This window comes from Homo sapiens, chromosome 9 (genome assembly GCF_000001405.40).
Source record: "Homo sapiens chromosome 9, GRCh38.p14 Primary Assembly".
Lineage (NCBI taxonomy): Eukaryota > Metazoa > Chordata > Mammalia > Primates > Hominidae > Homo > Homo sapiens.
Window position 1 is genome coordinate 117334473 of NC_000009.12, and position 23658 is coordinate 117358130.

The following is a 23658-nucleotide window of genomic DNA, read 5'->3' on the forward strand; positions in this document are numbered from 1 at the left end:
GTATATCAGGGCTTTTTTTTTTTTTTTGACGGTGGAGAGAATAATGATAAGCAAAGCCAGGCATACTCCTTGCCTTCATCTCCCAGCATTCTGCCTCTACCACCTGGTTCCAGCCAAACTGCCCTCCCTGCTAAATGCCTTTTACACACCAGCCACAGTGGCTTCATAGTCCTCACTCCCTCTTCTTGGAATGCGTTTCCTAAGAGCCTCCTGTGGCTCACTCTTCTCATTTTTCAAGTTTTAGCCCAATTACCACTTCCTGGAAGTTTTCCTGATGATTATTTAAAATAGCAACTTCAGACCAGGCATGGAGGCTCACGCCTGTAATCCTAGCACTTTGGGAGGCCGAGGCAGGTGGATCACCTGAAGTCAGAAGTTTGAGATCATCCTGGCCAACATGGTGAAACACCATCTCTACTAAAAATACAAAAAATTAGCCAGGCGTGGTGGCCTGTGCCTGTAATCCCAGCTACTTAGGAGGCTGAGGCATGAGAATAGCTTGAACCCGGTAGGCAGAGGTTGCAGTGAGCATAGATCATGCTACTGCACTCCAGCCTGGGCAACAGAGTGAGACTCTGTCTCAATAAACATAAAACAAAATAAAATAAAGTAAAATGGCAACTTCTACCTTGCACCCCCAGGGGCTCACTCCATTGCTTTATTTTATTCATAGCCCTTAACTGCTATCTTAAATTCCATCACTTGTATATTTATTTACATGTTTATTGTCAGTTTTTCTTTAAGCTCTAAAAGGACCTTTCTGCTTTTCTAGAATCCAGAATGCTGCCTGGAACATAGTACACATGAATAAATGTTTGTTGAAAGAAAAATGAAGAAATGATATCTCCAAATTGCTATGACTTTCTGAATTATTTTCTCCACCATAAGCTCCTATGTTTGGCAAGTACTAGGCTTTAACACAATACAAACATCTCCATGTTAGGAAGACAGTCTGATCATATATTCCTCAATTCAGTGTAGTTTTACCTGGAACATAGAAAATGTATGATGCAAATTATCTGAGCCTCTAATGACTCTGATTGTCAAGAGTTGGCCTTGCAACTGAATTGTAGGAGGGTCATTTCATTAATTTCCATAGTAAGTTAGATCTACAGTTTAACTTCATTCTTACTTATATTTTGTTAATGGGGAAATCAAGGTCCCATAAAGGAGAATGGATTTTTTCACAGTCTTGTTCTTCACTGAATGAGGAACCCCTTAAATCAATGAAGCCATAAAATCCTAGTGCCACAGGCCCCTTAAAAATTACCCCATCTAATAACATAGATAAAGAACTCAGAGCAAGAAGAAAAAAAAAGGGACTTGCTCAAGATCACCCAGCACTTCAATGGTAGATTTAGGAATGAAATCCATATCTATGTGTACCCAGAGTTGGAATCTCACTACTCTCCCTTCATGCTGCTATTTGGAGAAAAACAGAAATGGAGAAAAGGAAATGAAATTATTCCAGGCACACATTTAGCAATGCTCATAAATCCTGACAATATTAACAACACACGACAGCTTCGTTGAACAAATTGGCAGTGAGTGTAGGCAGCTTAAGGAGACAGGAGGTCTGGAAAGGAAAAAAAAAAAAAAAAAAAGGACCACCAGGCATACACAAAAATTTTCCCATTCTGCTCTTTTCTAAGTCTGTCTGTAAAACAAGGCCTCAGACAGGAGGTGCTGGGGAATGGTAAGAGTTTGAAGGAGGTGCTTGCATGGAGTGTGAGTGTATGTATGAGCACACTGGTGCACAGCTCCCAAGAGACTGTATGGGGAATAATCCTTTGTAAGATGTCACTCATCCTTTATACAAATTAACCTCCACCTCCCTCATGCTGGGATTAATTTGCTCTTTGTTTCCTTGACATTCAGCTAGGGAGATCTCAGAAGAATTAAAGAAAGTTCTTCAAGAGGTGAAAAGGGGAAGTCAGGGCTTCTGGGGCCTGGAACCCTGAGGAATCATCACCCGATGCAGCGCTTCCCTACAGGGACAAAGAGGGAGATCTCTTGATCCCCATCTCCTATCTGCAGGAGGAAGCCCACCTCAGCCCCCAAATCCTGGTAAGTAAGAATAATATATCCTGTTTATTCTGTGCGTGGTCTATGCATTCCGTTGAGTACTTTGCCAGCGCCATACTAAATTTCACCAACTCACTGCCATGAAGGTTCTGGCTAGCCTAGGTTTTCTGCCACATTCCTGACCTTGCCTAAAATGTTTGATTCTCTAGCCTCCAGTCAAATGGGTTCTGGTTTAAAGGACCATCCACATGATTCCTCAGACTTCCCATATGGCCCCACCCCTTTGTTCTCTACCCCAAAGTTTCAGGTTCATGTCAGTCTATGTCCTCAAAAGGTCCAGCACTCTCCCAGAACTCGAAGCTTTAGCCATTATGAAAAGTTCTGACACAAAGGGAGAATGTAAAAATAAATATAAAACACCACAAGATACATGCTCAAAGGTATGGCTCCTCCGTTTTTCCTCTTAGCTGTGTATCTGTTTGCTGTCAGTTTGCATGAATAAATAAGTCACCTAACATTACTTCTGGAAAGAGGAGCAATATAAATAAATGCATAATTAAGAATAAATAATGCTAACATCAAATTAATGAAGAGGGGTTTTAAAAATACATGTATGCAAATCACACCTTAGGTGAGAAATCTAAAAAATCACACATACCCTATGGTACCTCTGCATCAGTGCAACAAATTACTATGAAATGGGGAATTCCCATTTTATACATGGGTCTACAGAGGCCAATGGAGAAAAAATAGTCATGGGTTAAATGGCATATTCAAAGACAAAATTATTGGATTGGTCACAGGGCAATGACCTGTGATTTCTGGGTTGCAGAGATCAAAATTCCTGCACATTAAGGCCTATCCTAATAAACTCTGAGAAGTTAGAATGCGGAGAAATAAAAAGAGAGGTCATTTTTAATTCTTTATTATCTACCATATGTTTCAAAAGACCAGGTATGTGATTATGCCTGGCATTGGACTGGGTGGTTGCAAGCATTGTTCTTTTCATTCTTATAACAGCACCGTTAAGTAATAACACTATGTCAGGTAAGCACAGTGAAGAGTAGAGAAAGAAAGCAACTTTCTGGAGGCAAAATAACTCTTAAGTGTATTCTGTGCATTTGTATAACTTCAATATGTTTGAATTTTTACTGCTGGGATTCCCTTTTAATGATGAGATTAGGTAATGAGGTATCATGGAGAGAAAAGTGGGGAGCTTCCCTTTAAATAACCAACTAGTAGACACTGTTTTAAGTGAAAACACTATATGGGGCACAATGAGTGAGCTCATAGCCAAGGGGAGAAGCAGAAGCAAACACAACTGACCTAATATCCAAGGCATGGGGGTGGGAGGCCAAGGTGCTCATGACCTCGGGCAAGCCAATAGCAGGTACAATAAATTAGCTCACCTTCTCTCACACAGCTAAGTGAGGTAACAGATGTGATCATGTTTTGCCATGTACAAAGTGCTACCAAGAATCTGTATTCCATGGAATTATCAAAATCTAATTTTGTCCTTATTCATATAAAAAATAAGGAATCGATGATTATCTCGCATTTATCTATCTACAACTTCACAGTGTTTAATACTTCCTCATCATCCTCTCATCCTCACGGACATATGGAGAGAACAGAAGGATTAGGAAAGATTGCCATTTTCTTCCAATGCATCTACTAGTCTTCTATGCAGCATCTGACTATTTGTTAATTATTATTTTCTACTCAAATTACTATTCAGGACAACTAGTGTCCTGATCCAATCTCGTGCTCAATATAACCTCAATGGATGTGTCTCCCCCAACCTTTTAATCCCCCAAATAAAGCATGCCCACTTAGCCTCTATTTCTTCCTAGACCTGCATCTAAAACCTCCTTTCTTGAAGCATATAAGCACCTTCAATCCTACAGATCCTATCCATTTATCAGTTCATCCATCCATTCAGCCCTCCTCCCATCTTCAAATCTTTCCAAAAACTTTTTCAGATGCCCCATCTTGTGCTGGGCACACATAAGAAAAGGTCCTTTCTCTAAGGAGCTTAGCAATTAATTGGAAAAACAGAGGATACTTAAAACATACCCTAACACGTAGAAGAAAACGATCAATCATATAAGACAAAATAGGGGAAGGTGCTTCTTCCCCCCTCCACCCTACTGGCACTAATCTACCAAGCTTTAGCTTTTTAATGGCTTTGGTAGGCACTGAATACGGGTGGATTATTGGGTTGGTGCAAAAGTAATTTTTTTTTTTGCCATTATCTTTTTTTTTGCCATTATCTTTAATAGCAAAAAAATGCAATAACTTTTGCACCAACCTAATATCTTAACTTTCAGGCCTGGTCATCAAAACTCAACAGCACACCTGTCCATGGGAACTCTCTTTTCTACCTCTCCAGACCTCACAGCTGTGTGCGTAATTTTAGTCCCCCAGCTTTGATTGCTATCTCTCATCAACCACATGAGTTAATGCAGTTATCTAGGGGACAGGTAGACACTAGGATGTAGACTGACTGCGGGTGATGATGGGGGAGCTGTAGACCTGGGCTGCTGCTTGAGCTGCTGTTTGATCCCAGCTTTCCCTCAGGGCAAGCAGAGGTAATGGGCACAGCAGGATTTAGGCATCTGTGGTTCCTGACTACAACACCATCAAACCCCCAATTTTCTCTCACAACTGGTATTAGTATTTCACATCTAGCCCATGAGGCAACTGAGGCTCACAGAGGGCAATTGACTTTGTTCCAGGTTACACAACTATCAAGTGGCAGAATCAGGGTAGGAACTTCAATGTGTCTAACTCCACGAGCGCTCTTTCCACTATGCCACACCGCATTGGAGCTGAGATTTGAAGGGTACACATGATCTGTGTGCCGCAGAGGCAGAAAGAGGCAAGGTCACCCTGTCCCACTTTAAAAGGTCTGCTGAGATCTCACACACATGCACATGCACACACACACAGTCCGCTGCTGCCACACCTCCAATGTCATCAGGCCAGCTGTCTTTACAAAAGCCAAAAAAAAGGAACTCCTTTGCCAACACTCCGTTTACAAAGAATAAAAAGAGAGAAACATCATGCCTTTTCCTGAAGAAACTTTTTCTGTTAAGAAGCAAGAACCCAACAGCTTCCCTGAGACCCATTTTTCATACGATTAATGTCAGGCCTCTCATGTTTCCTAATGAAACCTGACACTAACTGAGAAAAATGGATACATTAATATTGAGTTCATTAGTAAATAGATTACCCAAATGTTTGGGGTGAGGGGAGGAAGAAGGTGAAGGAAGAAGGAGAAAGGGGAAGAGAAGCACACATACCACTCAGCTATTCTGGCAAGAGACTCTCTGAGGACCACATGCTAATCAAATATTTATGGATTTTAATGCACCGATCTGTTAAGCCAGGAAATAGTCTCTTTTACAAAAAAAAAAAAAAAAAATTTAAAGAGGCCCACATGATACCATAGCGTTTTATTTAGATGGGAACTGAGGCCTGTTGAGGAAAAGGCATGGCCCAGAGTGTGGCCTTAGTTACCTGGACAGGGAGAACAAATGACAGCTCTCAGAGACATCAGACCCTCCCTGTCCTCATCCCACACACACCTCTTCATGTCAACAGAAAGTGTCATGAAGCATTCAAGACCAGCCTAGCCAACCTGGTGAAACACTGTTTCTACTAAAAATACAAAAAAAATTAGCCGAGAGTGGTTGGTGGCATGCACCTATAATCCCAGCGACTCGGGAGGCTGAGGCAGGAGAATGGCTTGAACTGGGAAGGCGGAGGTTGTAGTGAGCCAAGATTGCGCCACCGCACTCCAGCCTGGGTGACTGAGAGAGACTCAGTCTCAAAAAAAAAAAAAAAAAAAAAAAAAAAAAAGTGTCATGGAGAGGAGGAGGGGTATGACTACTTCGGGGAAGAGATGTAGCCTGGCAGGAACACCGGTTATAGAAGAAAAATGCCCGGTGCACCCTGCTAAATTTTTCTGCCACCTCTAAAGAATACATCAAGGGCTCAATAATAACTACTCTCTACCACGCTAAGACCTGTGGGGGGAATGAAGGCAAAATGGAAACAGAAGAAGCTTGTTATTGGAGCCAGTAGAGCAGAAGAATCTGGCTCTTCCCCTTCCTTAGTGTGAGACCTTGGACAGCTCTCATAAAATCACTGTCACTGAGCTCCAGTGAGGTCACAGGCAGAAATGCTCTTAATGTAAATTGTCAAGTGCCATAAAAGGCACCATGTTGCTCTTTTGACAAGATATCCCCTTTTCTTTATGTCTATGTGATGAGGCACAAAGTAAGGGTGAGGAGGCTAGGACCCCGGTCCCAGTTCCAACAGTGATTCATGGTGTGACCTTGTGCAATGCCCTTCCTCCCTCTAGGCTTCAGTGTGCCCATCAGCAACATGGCCAGGCAGGACCACTACTCAATAACCATGTGGGGCCTTTGCATGGTCTTGTGCCTATGACAACCCTGAGAAGGCTCTAGGAGGAGGCCCTGCTCTTAAGCAGTGCCAGCATGGTGCTGGCTCCTCTAGGGACCCAAGGTTATCCTTGATTACAAGGTCAAAGTGAAGAGATATACAGGATTGAATTATCTCTTACAACTATTGTAGTTCTCACATTTTGTGTTTTTTAAAGCCCTTGAGCAAGGAAATCTCATGTCATGCTCTGAAGAGAAAACAACTTAATAAAAGTGAGGACAGAAAGAAAGAAGGAAATAGTCCAGGTAGAAATGGACCCCAGAGAAAGTAAATGTTCATGAATCAAATCGTTTTTTTTCCTGGTTGCTGCATTTCTCTCTGTCATGGGTACTTTATTCACTGAGATAGGAATGATCTGCCAAAGCATTTTTACACACAAGAGATGGAGATACACAGACAGATGGTGAGAGACATAGACAGACACAGCCTCTAAGCTAGGGGCAGAAACTTTCCTGTTCTTTGTGAGCAGGAGGTTAAGAAAACAAAAAGAAGGAGAAAGGGATAATAATAATTTTTTGAAAAATCATAAAGTAGCAAACGATCAAGCAAAAGACAATGCCAGATTCAAAGAAGGATCTTTGTATTCCAAACAGCAGTGACATTTCCTTAAACAGCAAAGTGGATCCTTTTATCTGGGTCTTTTTATGGGCCTTTTGCCACCAGATTTATCAGCAGAGAGAGAAAAGCATGAAAAGGAAAGTGTAAAGTGCATAGGAGGATACAAAGCAGGAAACAAAAATGCATTTTTCCCCCAAATCTTCTAATGAGACTCACTAGCTCTATTGTGACAAAGTGAGAGGTCTCTGTGGAGTTCATTTCACATCTCATCCATCCTCAGAGTAATGGGAAAATCCTGCCTTGTTTCTGCAAAATACCAGCACACACTGTGTGCCATATACACTCAATTCCATTAGAGGTAATGGAAGAAGATTGTTCCAGAAGTTGTTTTCAATTGCTTGAGTGCACCCTTCATTTAGGGAAACAAGAATATATGAGCTGTTTGACTCAAATTGAAGTATGGACCCAACTTTGCAGCTATAGCTATGGTTATTCTCTTCTGGATGCCTAGGTGAGGACCTGGTCAAATATCACCTCTCCCCATGGTTGAAGAGATAATATTTAGCATCTCCATTTCATGTCATGTATTACAAAGCAGCACACAGCTATTCATTAACTGTTGTTAACGGAACTCAGGTCCCCGAACAAAGGCATCCTGGGTCTGTGAATAGGACAATCAGGTTCAGAGACAGGAGAACCCACATGCTAAAATGCCAGATGGTTGGGAGCTTGAATCCCCCATTCTGCCACTTCTAGATGCTTTACTGTTGGCATGCCACTTAGCCTCACTGAAACTCAGTTTTATCAGCTGAAAAATGAAACAAAAATAATACATGTTTGTTCGAATAATTCAATTTATGTGGCAAGGCTGGTGAAAAGTCTGTTAGAAATCATATAGAACTTGGGAAATGCTAATGAGCAGCAGTGAATCGGAGTTTCCCAAAGTGAGTCCTGCCTCTGAACCATCCTCTTCTTTGTGTGATTTTGTGAATTTAGAAGGTCAGGTTTTCAGAGTAGCCCAGGGATCGTTTGGTACTGCCACTAATAAACTAGGAACATTTGGTCATTTGTTTCCTCTGGCTAGGTCCTGGTTTCCTCACCTACAAGGTCCTGGCTTCTTCACCTACAAAATGAGGGGAGACTGACTTAACACGCAATATTACCATTTTCAAACTGTGTTTTCAGAACAGAATTGTTTCTTCCAACACGGTTTTATATAGAAGAAATAGAATATCCATAACAAATAAGAATGGGTTAACAAATAACAATGCGGACCAGGAACCCTGCATATTTCCATGTCCCTGATGACCTTCAGTGGCATCTCTTCTGGGGAAGCCAAGGGTACTGTGGCATACTTTGAGTCTTGACAACATTGAGTCGCCATCAAATGACATTCTGGGAGGCCACAGACCAGAAGTCCCATGGGAATTTCAGGAGCTTGGTGGGTTGGATAGCTTTTTCCTGATTGGCTTCCAAAGTTAGGCAAGGGGAATAGTTCCCCCCTCACTGCATCTCACACTCACTTCAGAAAAACTAAAGTAGGAAGAGTCAGAAGTCTAACATCAGTTTAACTGGCCAAAATCAAAGTATGTGCAGGGCTGCAATTTCTCTAGAGGCTCTAGGGGAGAAACTATTCCTTGCCTTTTCCAGCTTCTGCTAGCTTTCCTTGGCTTGTGGCTGCATCTGTTCAATCTCTACCTTTCTGAATGTGCCATCACCTCTTCTGTCTGAAGTCAAATCTCCCTCTGCTTCCCTTTTATCAGAATTTTATAGTTACTTTTGTTCAAACTACATTCTGCTCTAAATTCACTTGTACATAGCTTACTCATGCTGAAGAATCAATTTGAAAGCTCATCCAAGAAGCTTTCTCGGATTCCTACAGTGCATGAACTTGCTTTTCCCTGGAATAGAGTCACAGAAAACATTTGAACTGCTGTGATGTCATTGACAATAGTAACAATAGATAACGTTTGTGTGGCACTCCCCAAGACTCAGGCATTGTGATAACTAACACTTTCCATGAATAATGTCATAGAATTCTCACAAACATCCTGTGAGATAGACACTATTATTTTCAACCCCATGTACATATGAGAATACTGAGAGTTGGAGAGACTGAGTAACATGCCCTAGATGACTCAGCTAGCAAGGAATGAAAAGCACATTCTAACTCCACCCACATATATAGTTCCAGGATCCCATCTCTCTACCTCACATTAATTAGTTCTATACCAGCTTTATGTTTCCTACTAGAATGTGCATGTTTTAAAGGCTGAGCTTTCTGCATTTTTATGCCCCTCCTGCACCTGGCACAATCCCTGATTCCATGAATAATTAATTGAAAAAGAAATAAAAATATAAAAGAAAGAAGAAAGAGATCAAGGAAGGCAGCAAGGACAGAAGAAAGTAGAAAGTAGAGGGAGAGAAGAAGGAAGGAGGGGGGATGAAGGAGCTGGAAATACTCTGAAAATGTCACCCAAAGCATCTCTGTCTTAGATGTTACTCCAAAAATTCCTGAAGCAGGAAAAGCATCTCCCAAGGTGGCCCCATCATTAGTTCCAGTAGAGAGACATGGGGAGGTGGGAAAGGAGATCTCTCCAGCACAGCATGCCTGAAAAACGATGCCAGAACTACACAGCCTTCCACAAAAGCACGTGGAGAAAAAAAAACCCATCCCCAAAAGCAGCATTAACAGGAGAATATTAAACCCTCTACCATGGCACAGTGAATAAGACTTCAAAGCCCTCTACGTATGGAAATGAATCCTGCAGGCAGGTTTGGGAGCTAGAGCTAGGATGCCGGGCACCAGGGCTGATGAAAGCAAAGGCAGTGTGAAGATTTGCTCAGCCATGATAAGTCCAGGTCCCCAAAGACCCTGCCCCTCCCCTGCTTCATTCATTCCCAGGACCCTGGGAGTTCCAGAAGGAAAAGTGTTGTATTAACGCTCAGTACCACAAACCACTTGGTAAGCTACCTGGCTTCTGGAAGACAGCAGTGCCCAGGGTTGCCTGTGTTTGTCTTTGTGTACACACACAACCTATGCGCACACACCCCATAGAGTGACACAGAATCATGGACAACATAGCAGCTCCTTGTATGAGAAGAAGCATGTTTCTCTTATGCAATTCATCTCCTTACTCCTCAATGATTTATTTTGTTTTCATTTCTTCATCCTTGAGCCTAAAGCTAAGGGAAGAGGAAAGAATGAACACGGGTTTCAACTCTAGACCTAAGAGTAATGAAAAGGGTGAGGCAGAGGGAATACAGGGGAGGGAAGCAGCCCAGGCAGAGGCATTGTGTGCAATACTAATGTGAATGCTGCCCTTCCATTGCTCATTTTTCCTAAAGGCCCTGATGTATTTTTCATCCAAACATAAATTAGTTTTATTCATTTATTTATTCAGGAATGTTGATATCAACACTGACACATGCCGCCTGTACAAGAGTGGGGAACGTTTTTCTCCCTGGGGCATGAACAGGTTGGGGCTAAATGAAAGGACCCAGGAATCTAAGGAAGCCAGGGTTAGAGGTGGGAGGGTCCATGGAGATAAAAGAGCCCAACTTGGAGCTGTGTTTTCTGCAGCACAAAGGAGCCCAGGAGAGGACTGCCAGGAGCCAAGCCTGTAGTTAATTGAATCCTCCAGCCAGCAAGGCTTGCTCTTGCTACTCATGCTTTGTTTTATTATTTTACATTCACTCCTGTGAATGTTCAACCAGTATATATTGAGTACCTAGTATGTGTCAGCCACAGTCTAGGTCCTAGGCCTTCAGTAGAAAATAAAGAGTTAAAAATCCCTGACCAGATGGATTTACAACCTAAAGGAGCATCAGATGTAAACAAGTATGAATCATAACCACAGCTACTTTCTGAGAGCTCTCAATGTACCTTGCATGACTCTAAGTGCTTCAGACATAGTAAATCACTTAATCTTTACAAAATCCCTACCGTAATCCTGCAATGATAGATAAGGAAACTGTGGCTCAAAGAGATGACGATCTTGCCCAAGGTCACACAGCTGATAGGTGGCAGAGCTTGGTTTTCAAACTCAGGCTGTCTGGCCCTTACTGAATTCAAGCAAATTGAAACTAAACAAAAACAAATGCAGGTTACAACTGGTGTTAAGTGCCATCAAGGAAATGAACAGGATGCAATGACGAGAAATAACTGAGGCAAAGGGCTTCTCTGGACAAGGTAGTCAGGGAGGGCTTCTCAGAGGAGGTAACATGTAAACTAGAGAATGCTACAGATTGTTACCAGAAAATACATACACTTCCCTAGTCCACTTTCTTTAACCTTTTAACTTCTTTTTCTCTTCCACCCCATCTCTTCACCAATATCCTCAATTCTGCAGTTTTCTTATTAGACCTACTTACTCTCATTAATTAGTTCTGTCTATCCACTATTAAGGTTTTCTTGTAACTCCCATTCTGCCCATTCTGGCCTATATTTTAATCCTCACATTGCCACTTAGTGAACTAAGAGGCAAAAAAAAAAAAAAAAGGAAAAGGAAAAATTATACCAGGCATTTTCCAGATGTTTTATTGTCTAACCCTCAGTGGAGGCTCAGGGGTGTTACAGAATTTTTCCAAAGCTACCTGGCCCATGGGATTACAAAGAGTAAAGATGAGACTCACTTGTACTGACTCTTTGTCCAGAGCACCCTGTTATTCCATCAAGGTTTTAGTTACTTTTTTAAAAGGATTTGCATATCTCAAATCAAGGTAAGGCATAGAACACTAGGAAACAGTATAACCAACGTAGAGTTTACTAACTTCTGTGCTAAGTTTCTTGGACAAATGTTGTGTAAATGCTTGGTCAGGTTCAGGATCCAGTAGAATGTACAGAATTCAGATCTGTATTATCCTACAGAATTCAGATCCATATACTCTACTGAATTCTGAACTTGACCATGCATTTAGATAGCATTTGTCCAACCAACTAACCAAACTCCTAACACACTCACCTGTGCTTATTTGCTACAATCCTATTATCTTAGTGCAGTAAGAGTTGCCCAATTCTTTCATTTTACAGACATGAAAATTGATACCAAATCAAGGACAGAATCTGGGTTTCCTGACACATCGTTTAGCAGAAATAAGCAATTAAATATGGGGAAAAATAACTGTACCATCATATGTGAAGTGGTAACATAGATATCTTAGATGTTCTCCTGCCAGTAGTGAGAGTGAACCTGTTCAGGGCCACCTCTATTCCCTCAAGGTGATACATATGATACATGGGTATTAAAATCATACAGACATGGGTTCAAATCCTATCACTGCTAACCTCAATATATTCATTTCTCTGAACTTAATTTCCACTGTCTGCAAAATGGGGGCCCTAATACCTATGGTTTAAGGTTGTTATGAAGATTAAACTGGAATACACATAAAGAAATAAGATTAATGCTTGACACAGCATTTGGGCTCAATACACACATTCTTTTTTGTTAATTATCATTAAATTAGTCAAGACTTACTAGTCTACCTACAAGGCTAAAGGGCATCCTGCTGCTTCTGCGGTGTGTGTTATCTGAGGTGGGATGACCTGGTATATCTGGCACTGGCCGACATCCAAGTAGGGGGCTTTGGAGTGAAAACTGTGGAAAATATAATGGGAGTGAGGTCAAGAAGAAAAGGCACATGCAGTGTTTCTCCAAAATCATGAAGAGGTTGGCGGTTGAGAAGCACTCTCTACAATGACTAATGGACTTTGTGGAGAGGTGGGCTTTTGGAGTGAGACACTTTAGAAATTCCTTCATAGATACATTATACTGATAGCGCACACATAGATGGCTGTCAACAATGAGAGAGCGCTTCCTGATTTAGTCTCTCATTTGCTCTCACCACCACCTGGGAGGTTGCCCCAGCTCTTCACTGTGCATACAATATGCTAGACACTGCATGCTAGATACGGCTAAGTCTCCTCACGTTCTCACAACAAGCCTGTATGTAGGTCTTATCATTAACCTCATTTTATAATGAGGAAAATCATGGTTCAGAGAGATTAAGAGTTTGCCCTGAATCACACAGCTAGCTAGTAAGGCCTTCTGCTTTGTCTAGTGCAATTCTCTCTTGTAACCACACCCAATTATCTGTTCTTTATGTAGAAATATAAATATAAAGCAAATGTTTTTTCTGAAAATCAGAAATAGGTAATAAATTAAAAATGAGAATGTGGTGGCTACAACCACACAAAGAAAGCAGCGGATTCTCAAGGGCTGGGAAGGTGTGAATTGCTAAAGAGGAACAAAAAGACACATCTGACCTCACATCTCTCCTTGTGCAAAGTCCCCAGCACTGGATGACAAGGGCACATGTGCTAAAGGGCAGTGAAGGCCTAGGGACCTAAGTGTTATATGTCCAGCTTTCTGAAGACTAACATGGCATATTAATTTAGATTTCAAAACCCTGTGCATGCTGCTTAGTTGGAAACTAAAGGAAATGAAAAGAAATTCTAATCAGGGTCTATTACCAGATAAGAAGATTACACTTAACTTACATTCTCATTATTTTTAATATTTGCAACCAACATTACACCAAGCTTAAAATCAGAGAGAAGCATAATCCATTTATAAGCATGAAGGTAGGTAACTGGGGAGGCCTGTTCAGCCTAGGCCTGGCACTTCAGGTCAACCCGTCTCCCAAGGTGGGGAAGATTAAGCAATTTGGTCAAAGGCAAAATGAAGTGGATATTCAAGGCAATTTTCCAGGTAGTTCAGTCTAAAATTGACCACTCTGACTCAGGATGCCAAACAACTGAGAACATAAACAAAATATTGGGGATTAACTCTATTTCTCTTTTAACTCTACCGATACTCATTTCAATTTGCCATTCTTAGTCTGCATAGACATAATCCAAGAGATGTTAGGCAGTGTCAGATACAAGCATGTCTCTGAAAATGTGTCCCATGACACCCTATATCTACATGGCATGAACAGGAAAGAGGGTGTTCTATCGTTAAAGAAATTTAGGAAATGTTGAGATAAGCAAAGAGAAATGGATCTATTTACTGTAAAGTTGCTCGGAGCCTATTTACTTGATATGCTGATTTGTGTTCTGTATCCTTAACATGTGTATATGTGTTTGTTTGGGTGTGGGTAGTCATTTGTCTACAGCCTTATTCTTGACCAGAGCTCTGCAAATCTGGGCTAAGATTCTTTCAGCTCCTTTTTACTGTGAGCAAAAGGGAGGCAAAGAAAGACATCTCAACTTGTATTTTATAAGTGCCAAACACTTTGTATAAAGCCAAGGGCTTCATTGCTATAACATTAGGTTGGAGTATTTCATTAATAACAGATCTCCTAATTCATTTTTTATGATCCTGTCAGCACATAGAGGAATTTGTCTCTGTCCAAAAAAAAAAAAAAAAAAGTGTGTGTAGCATCTAATTGTGTGACTCCCCTCCCTCTGCCCCATTAACTTGGAAAAGAAGAATTGCTGGAAAAGGTGGAGGAAAGTCAAAACAATTGAGTTGTCTTTTTATGGATTTATTGAGTGGCAACTGGTGCCATAGAGAGAGCTAGGCAAGGGCGGTGAAGCATGCCGGGAGGCCCATTGATCATCACGGACCTGGGTCAAAAAGGATTTTATCTTCTGTCCTCAAATCCAAACGGTATGCTCATGCACACGCACAGCAGACAGGAAGCTGCCGGGGCGGGTGAAGGCTCAGTCCTCTCCACTCTAGTCCCTCCCAAGGAGAGATCACCAAGGTCATAGCAGGGTAAGGAACATGATCGTCTCTGCCTGGCCTTAGAAGTCATTGATTCCAGTTTGTTCCCTTATTAAATGAGAAAAAAATGAGGGCCAGTGTGCATGGCTTGCCTCCCTATCTAAGAAAAGTTAAGTTTGCTTCGAACTTGTTGAGAATCTATCTTGGACTAAATTCAGCAGAGATGGAGAAATTAGACATGGCCCCCTGCCTTCAGGAATCTACTGTTAATGGGGGTGGGGGAAAGAGACAAGTGAACTTATTCATGCTGTGGAGAGAGGAACACAAAGGTTCAGAAAAAATACTGAAAAAGAATCGTTCACTAGTCCTTAAGAGACCAGGCAGCTCTAAAAATAAGATGGTTATTCCTTCCTCCAGGAAGTGGAGCTTAATTGCCCTCTCCTTCAGTGTAGACTGGACTTAATGACTCACTTCTAATGAATAAAGTAAGTAAAGGGAAAAATAATTGTCTTGCAGTGGAAAAACCCAATGGACACTGCCCCAAATAAATGATGAAGACTAACATCAGCAATAAGTCAGGATGATATCAGAGACTCCCTGATATGATATGATACAATATGATAACAAAGGGACTTCACCTCTGGCCAGTGCTTTTCATAACTGTTAAGATAATTTTTAAAGGAAAACCTGAGAGACTGTCACATAACAGAGGAAAGCAAGTAGACATAAGGATTAAATGCAACACAGATTGAACACTGGGACAAAAAAAAGGACATTGGTGGAAACCGAGTAAAATCTGAATAAAGTCTATAGTATAGTTAACAGCAACATACAAATGTTGATTTCTTAGTTTTGACACATGTACCATGATAATGTAAGATGGTAACATTAGGGGAAGCTGGGTAAGTGGTATATAGAAAGTCTCTGTATAATCTGTGCCAATTTTCTATAAATCTAAAACATTTCCAAAATTAAAAGTCTAAGAAAAAAGATATAGTACTACAGAAGGGTTCTGAGAGATTAATTACTCCTGCAAGAAAGGTTTGGAGAATAGAGAAATAAAAAACAAGGCTGGCACAGTGGCTCAGGCCTGTAATCTCAGCACTTTGGGAGGCCGAGGTGGGTGGATTTCTTGAGGTCAGGAGTTTGAGACCAGCCTGGCCAATATGGTAAAACCCCGTCTCTATTAAAAATACAAAAAATTAGCCAAGCGTGGTCGTGGGCACCTGTAATCCCAGCTACTTGGGAGGCTGAGGCAGGAAAATTGCTTGAAGCTGATAGGGGGGTGGTGGTTGCAGTGAGCTGAGATTGTGCTACTACGCTTCAGCCTGGGCAACAGAACGAGACTCCATCTTAAAAAAAAAAAGGAAAGAAAGAAAAGAAAAGAAAAAAGAAAAGAAAAGAAAAATCAGAGACAGTGTAGTCAGAGGGAAACATAGGTCCAGAATGAGAGAAAATGTGCTCAGAGCACTTTGTGTATTTGATATGATGGCAGAGCACGCTGGGCAGTGGGGAATGAGGCTGGGAAATGAAGACAATACTGTAAAGAATCTTCTACGTTAGGCTAAGAATGTTAGCAAGTTAGCAAAGCATTTAGAGCAGAGAAAGCTTGTCATATATGAACAAAATGTCTAGAAGTTCGGTGAGCTGGGAAAGACATGCAGCAAGTTATGTTCAGTACTCAAGTCACAAAGTGGAGATAACAGCACGTTAAATCACAATTAAGCCATCCTAGGGGACCCTGCTTTGGCACGACCGCCATGTTGCATGGTGGATAGGTGAAAAGGGGATTGCTTTATATGTTTTTACTTGAGAGACTGAAGGTGGAAGCCTGCTTGCTCTCCTTGCACCCTCAACGTCTACACTGCTACTCTCTTTAACAGAAGCGCATGACAGAGCATTTAGGAAAAGATATGGGCAACTGGGAGCAACTGAGAAATGAAGTAACAAAAAACTTAAGATACATCCATGATGGCAAATCTAAGCTATAAAGAATTGGTAGGATTAAGGAAAAGAGAATACGGCAATCCCAGCTCAAAAACCTTAATACCTACCCAGTGTCTCCAGAGCAAAATTCAAACGTCTAAGCATGGCGCTCAAGGTCTATTATAACTTTCGAGAAACTTTTTGTATTTCACTTCTTCCTTTCTTATTGCATTTTACCACAAGTATTCCAATACCACATCTTTTAAAAACTGAAACAAAACAAAAAAAATCTGAATTCCCAAATCTCATGCTTATGCTAAGCTGTTTTCTCGGCCTAAGCTGCCTTTACTTGAGTCAAAATCCTACACTACCATTCAATACTTCATGCATATATCACTGCCCCCAGGAAACCTTGCCTGACTACACAAACAATAAAAACTGTTTCTCCCTTCAAGTCTCTACAATTTTCAAATTTCTCTCTATACAAAATGAAAAGGCTTCTCTGCATATATAGGTGGCCAATCATAACCTTTTGGTTAATGAGTTATGAGGTGGAATCTTTGGAGGCACTTCTGGAAAGGTTTTGTTGTAATAAAGGAAAAAGTTCACAGGGAAAGCTCTGTTTTCTGCCCCTTTTCTTCATGTGTGCTTTAGATGCTATATTAGTTCATTAATTTGGATGGGGGGTGCTATAGCCATCTTGGAGCCCCAAAGAGAAGGCCAAGACAACCAGAGAGATTCTAGTCCTGCACACTGACATCTGGAGCTGCAAAGTCACCTATCACCAAAGCTTTTAGTCACGTGAGTTTATTAAATGTCCTCATCGTCTAAGCCCCTGGGATACAGATAAAAATGTCCTAAGTAAACACCGCTTACTATTAATATCTTTTTAATTGAATCAACTGTGAAGATTTCCCAACATTTGAGTCCATTTTGAGGAGGAAAACCTGGACTTCTCAATATACCTTTATCAGAGAGAAACAGTCCCTTGAATCTCACAGGCTGTGTCTTCAGCCCTGGGCTGAGGAGAACACAGGTCAGACCCCAGAAAACAATTACTCTCTCATGAGAATTTCTAATCTGGCCCAAGAAACGCTATTCAAGGCCAAGTCATAATCTTCTTATGACTTCATCTACCTTTAAAATGTCAAGTACTGATTTCCGCTGTACTTTCCCTGAGAGCAATTATTAGTTTAATGAGGAACATGGGCCACCATCTGCATCCCAAAACTTGTGACACTTGAGAGATATTATCTCCACCAACCTGGAACCTCCTACACATTAAACACACAGAGGTCAAACAAAATATTCTCCTCACATTTTACAGTCCAAGAATCAGAGCTGAGCTAATGAGACCAGAAAGAATCCACAATTGGCCAACAGTTGTTGAGCTTCCAATGCACAGGGATTGAGGCACCAAGGGATAGTAGACAGAAGTGGACAAAGAGTGGTAGGAGAATTACCAACTACTGAACTGGGAAAGCCATCCCAAGCACTTTATCTTTAGTGTTTCTTCTAGTTTATCCAATAATTCTAGAATTTAAGGATTAAGATATCCATTTTATTGAAAAGAAACTCAGAGAAACTAAGCAAATTGTTCAAAATTTCATCGCTCGGCCAAAAGGTAAAGACAACCCAAGTGTCCATCAACAGATGAATGGATAAATAAAATGTAATATACACATACAATGGAATACCATTTAGCCATAAAAAAGAATGAAGCTTTGACATATGCCTCATCATGGATGAAGCTTTAAGACACTAGGCTAAGTGATAGAAGCCAGATACAAAAAGATGGAGTAAGTGACTTCACTTACATGAAACATCTTGAATGGATAAATTCATAAGGACCGAAAATAGATGAGAAGTTATCAGGGTTGGGAGGTGCATGGAATGGGGAGTTATTGCTTAATGATTGCAGAGAGTTTTTATTTGGGGTCATGAAAAAGTGTTGGAAATACATGGTGTTGATGGTTGCACCACACTATGAATGTAATTAATGCTGCTAAATTGTACACTTAAAAATGGTTAAAATGGCAAATTGTATGTTACATATATTTTACCACAGTAAAAAAAAAATCACAGCACTAATAAATGTTTCAACAGCAATTTGAGACCTCACTCTGGCTCCAAAATCCAGAGTCTTTCTAGCAAACCATAAAAAGATTCTCTAAGATTTAGTGCGGTGCTGTCCAATAGAACTTTCTGCAACAATGGAAATGTGTTACATCTGTACTGTCCAATATGGTCAACACTAGCCACACAGGGCTACTGAGCACTTGAAATCTGGCTACTGTGTGCTGGGCAACTAATATTTTAATTTTATTTAATTTTAATTATTTTAAATGTAAATAATAGCCACATGTTGGGTAGCACAGGTTAAACTGAAGAGTTGAAGCATAGGTTCCAAAGGAGGCCTTATAGCAAAATGATGACACCTTGGTGCTAAAAAGATCAGTCTTTCAAGTTAAGACTTCAGCATTGAAAAATGTGGCCCCAATGTTCCAACAATTACCAGCACAACCTCCAACCTGTTTTCCTTGATTTTAGTTCACCTTTACCTCCAATCCATCCATTACATGGAGTAACATTGCCCTAATCGCGCCATCTGCTTTCTGAAAACCCCACTAAATACGACCCTTAAATGCATATTACTAAGTGAAAGAAGCCAATCTGAAAAGGCCACACACTCTATGCATCCAACTATGTGACATTCTGGAAAAAAGAAAACCATGAAGACAGCAAAAAGACCAGCGATAGCAGTGGGTTAGCATGAAGGGAAGGATGAATAGGCAGAGCACAGAGGATTTTTAGGGCAGCGGAACCATTCTGTATGAATAACAGTGGTGAATACACATTTTTATACATTTGACCACACAACACCAAAAGTGAACCCCAATATAAACTATGGACTTTGGGTGACAATGATGTGTCTATGCAGGTTTGTTAATTGTAACAAAAGTACTACTCTGGTGGGAAGATGTATTGATACTGGGACAGGCTATGTGTGGTGGGGAAGGGCGGAAGGTACTCGGGAGTATAAGGAACTCTCTGTACTTCCTGCTTAATCTTTCTATAAGCCTAAAACTACCCCCAAAAATGAAACTGTTTACAAAGAAAACACCATTAAAACTCATTATTCCATGGCAGATGAGGCCCCTCATCATCTGGCCTCTGCCTCTCCTCCTGTCTCTTTTCTCATTGCCCCCTCTCCCTGTGCATGCCATATGCCAGCTCCCTACACTCATCAAGCTGTTTCTCACTGCAGGGGCTTTGCATATGCTAGTCACTCTGAATTGAATGCTGCTCACCTTTCTACCAGAACTGCCTCTAGAGCTTTCAAAACCCAAATCCCCCTTTTTGAATACTTTCTTGAGCCATGAAAACTGAGTTAACTACTCCCTCTTGTGTGCACCCATGCACTGAGTAAGTATCACAGCTCATATCATTGTTTTGTTACTGATCTGTCTTTTCTAACAGTCTCTGTGTTGCTTCAGGTAGGTCTTACTCCTTCCCACCAGACCTTATATGATCTGGCTCCAGGCAATCTCTTAAGACTCCATCCCTCCTCCTTCCCTCCCTCCAGCAACACAGGCCTTGCCTGATCCTAGAACACACAGAACTCCCCACTGCCATAGTCTTCCCAACATCTCTTCCCCGTACTAGAACCTACTCCACAGTGAGCTCAAATGCATCCTACAGCTCAAACCTCAACTTTTAGGAAAGACTTCCCTGAATCCCCAGACTAAAATAAATGCCCTAGTTATAAGTTATCAAAATACTCAACGATTCTTCCTTCAAGGCATTTGCCCTAAACACATCTATACTATTTATAAAAGTATTTGTTCAATATTTGTCTTCTCCACTATATTTTAAGCTCCTTGTCCTGTTTTTTTTAATCCATGAGTCCTTACCCAGTGTATATTTCTTTAATATGAACACCTTATTAAAATGAACAAATTTCCCTTTACTCCAGGGGTCAGGGTGGGTGCTTAATAATTATTTGTGAAATGACTGTATTTCATTTATATCCAAGATCTAAGAGAGTCCCTGACAGATAGTGAATAGTCAGCAAATTCAGTATTTGTTGAACAAACAAGTGAATGGAAAGTTCAGAAATCTTGGCACAAATGAAATATTCAACTCCTTTATGGTAAAAATGATTCAAACCCATATTCAGAGTTTCAGACTGAAGAGGCTGCTGCAAGTGAGGACAAAAATAATACTATGTGTGTGATAACAACATTTATTTTCATTTACCTAGTATTTTCAAGCATGCCCTCCTACCTTACTCTTTCAGTAACGCTGTGTGCTGGATAATACAAACCCACTTCTAGAAAAGGGCAATGGAGTGCAGAGAGAGGACATGGCTCGCCACATGTAATGTACTGAGCTAGTGGACAACCAGACACCAGGCTGCTTAGCTCCCAGGCAAAGGCAGAAGGTGGGAGTGGAGGCTGAGGGGCTGCCAGGACAGAAAAGCAAAACAAGTCCTCAAGATTCCTGGGTACCAGAGCCGGATGGGGAGAGACAGAATGGACTCTGATTACAATCTGAGGAGGATTCATCTGCTGAAAGAGAGTTGATTGGATTGTGCTGTGATGCCAGAGTCTGTCGGCAATCAAACACCCTCTGGCTACCTCTGAGCATCTGGAATTGGAAAGCTGGAGGCAGAGGCCGGCTTGCAGCTGGGGGCCATGCTGGGGGACATGGGAGCAGCTCAGCTTCAGGCTGCAGTAAAGTGGTCAATGGCATGCTTGTCCATTCCAAGCACTTGCTAATGAAAAATGTTTCCCCCAGAGAACCCAGAGAAGGGGAGCAGCCTACACTGGAGATCAGGGGACAGAGGGAAATGGAAATATTCCTTACAATTGCAGAGTGTGCCGGTGCTTACAAACATTTAACTTATGCTATCACTAGATCCTCCCCCAAACCCTACTGAATTCATTGCCGTCATCCCCATTTTGTCTATGCACAAATCCCAAGTTAGTAGAAAGGAAATGTCTCACTCAAAGATACAAGGTATAAGTAGTAGAGCCAAGATGAGAATGCCAAGTATGTCTGATTCTCTATTAACAACTTTCTTGTAATTATAATCCAAAGCAAAAGTCTTCATCATAAAGTCAAAATCTTAAAATATGCAGGGGGTTAGACTTTTCCAGGGAGATAAATATGCATCTCGATTCTTCTTGGACACCTACTGTGTGCTGGTAGATATGCCACATGGGCCATGACATATGTGGTGAGATTATTATCCCATGTTTGATACGATGAAATTAAGTGAGAATCTGAGAAATGAAATCATTTACTGCAAGTGGCATGGCCATCAATTAAAATCAGACCAAATTCTTTAGATTTCACTTTGAGAACTGAGGAGCAAGAGCAGTGCAGGAACATAGCTTCTTTACCCTCTCTCAAGAAGTATGCCAGCACTGGCTCTACAGTAAAACAGTGATATCTTTTCTGTTCAATCTGATCTTCAATTTTAATGCGCTTCCATGTAAAATACGGGTGCTTAAAATATAAAAAAGAAAATTAGAGTATGTCAAAAATGGTTAGGAAAGGGGAATTTAGAGAACAAATGAAGGAAGGTAAAAAAAATACTGGAAAACAATCTCTCTTCATACCATCTCAGGAAAGATAAAGAATTGAGTATGGGCCAAGTGCAGTGGCTCACGCCTGTAATCTCAGCATTTGGGAGGCTGAGGTGGGTGAATCACTTGAGGTCAGGAGCTCAAGACCAGCCTGGCCAACATGGTGAAACCCTGTCTCTACTAAAAATACAAAAATTAGCCGGGTCTGGTGGGCGCATGCCTGTAATGCCAGCTACTTGGGAGGTGGAGGCAAGAGAATCACTTGAACCCGGGAAGCGGAGGTTGCAGTGAGCCGACATCATGCCACTGCACTCCAGCCTAGGTGACACAGCAATACTCCATCTCAAAATAAAACAAAAAAAGAATTGAATATGAAGCATGTGCTACCAAGGCTGACTTACCCATCAGGTACAGTGTCCAGGGCTCATAGTCCTTTCAGGAGCCAACAGAAATGTTTTAATTTTTCTTAAAACTACATGCAAATTTAAAAATGTATTTTTAAGTCAAAAGAATTTTTAATATAAATATGAATATAAACATCTTTGACACAATTTTACAATATTTTAAATTAATCATAATAATTTCGTAATGTTTTTATTAAGGAAGGATCCACAAAGGTAAAGGTGCCTAGGCTTGCAAAAGTCACACAGTGAACCTGCATTATGACTTTGAGATTATCACCGTGGCCACTGAGTGTGGAGCACAAATGAACTAATGAGGATTCACAGAGTTGAGGAAGAGTGTTTTCAGCTATGTTCTGATGAACATTTGAATGGAGTTTCCATGGGCACAGCAGGTTCAGAGTGTTACCAAGAGAATTGGAAATACTCCTGGATGCAGGTGAGCATTTCTCCCTTAGCCAGGCCAAGCAGAGAAGGTGGAATTAAAGTCACCTTTAGTGTTATCATTTTCTCTATCTCAAGAGTTTATTATGGATCCTTGGAACCACAGGAGATTGGAATTAATGTCTAGTCTTGAGTTAAGAATGTTATATCATGCCTAACTTAAATCCTGCCTATTTTGACTAGAGTCTTTAATTTTGCTTTTTTAAAGAATGAAAATTTACAAACGTTACTTCTCCTGTAATTGCTGTGAGGATTTACTTGCAATAAGGTCCTCTTGGAAGTCTGGGTACCTAACCCTTTGGAGGGATGAACAGAGTACCTGAATGGTGATAAGAAGGCAAAGATTGTAGAAACAGCTAAATCATAAATTTTTGTGACGTGGGCAAGTCACTTCTCTTTTTTGGTCTTAGTTTTCACTACCTGAAAAAGTCAAGTTATTTGTATATGTAAAGTTGAAGTTTCTTTTAATACTGAACACGTGGGAAATCACAGATGGTCCTATCCCAGACCCCGATATGGTAAAGTCAGTGATATAATGAGGATCGATCATACTTAGCGTTTAAGAAG

At 40.9% G+C, this 23658-nt stretch overlaps 1 protein-coding gene across 3 annotated transcripts in view, besides 1 other annotated feature; it reads right to left on the reverse strand.

Annotated features, from left to right (window-relative positions):
- ASTN2 (astrotactin 2) overlaps positions 1–23658 on the reverse strand; it is a 991946-nt gene that overhangs the window by 911361 nt on the left and 56927 nt on the right. The window lies entirely within an intron of this gene.
- Positions 20744–21245: an enhancer, noted in NCBI's record as "H3K27ac hESC enhancer chr9:120117495-120117996 (GRCh37/hg19 assembly coordinates)". NCBI's record gives its function as "activates a minimal SCP1, AML or CMV promoter by ChIP-STARR-seq in naive H9 embryonic stem cells {active_cell/tissue: H9 hESC(naive)}" and the evidence as "EXISTENCE:reporter gene assay evidence [ECO:0000049][PMID:30033119]".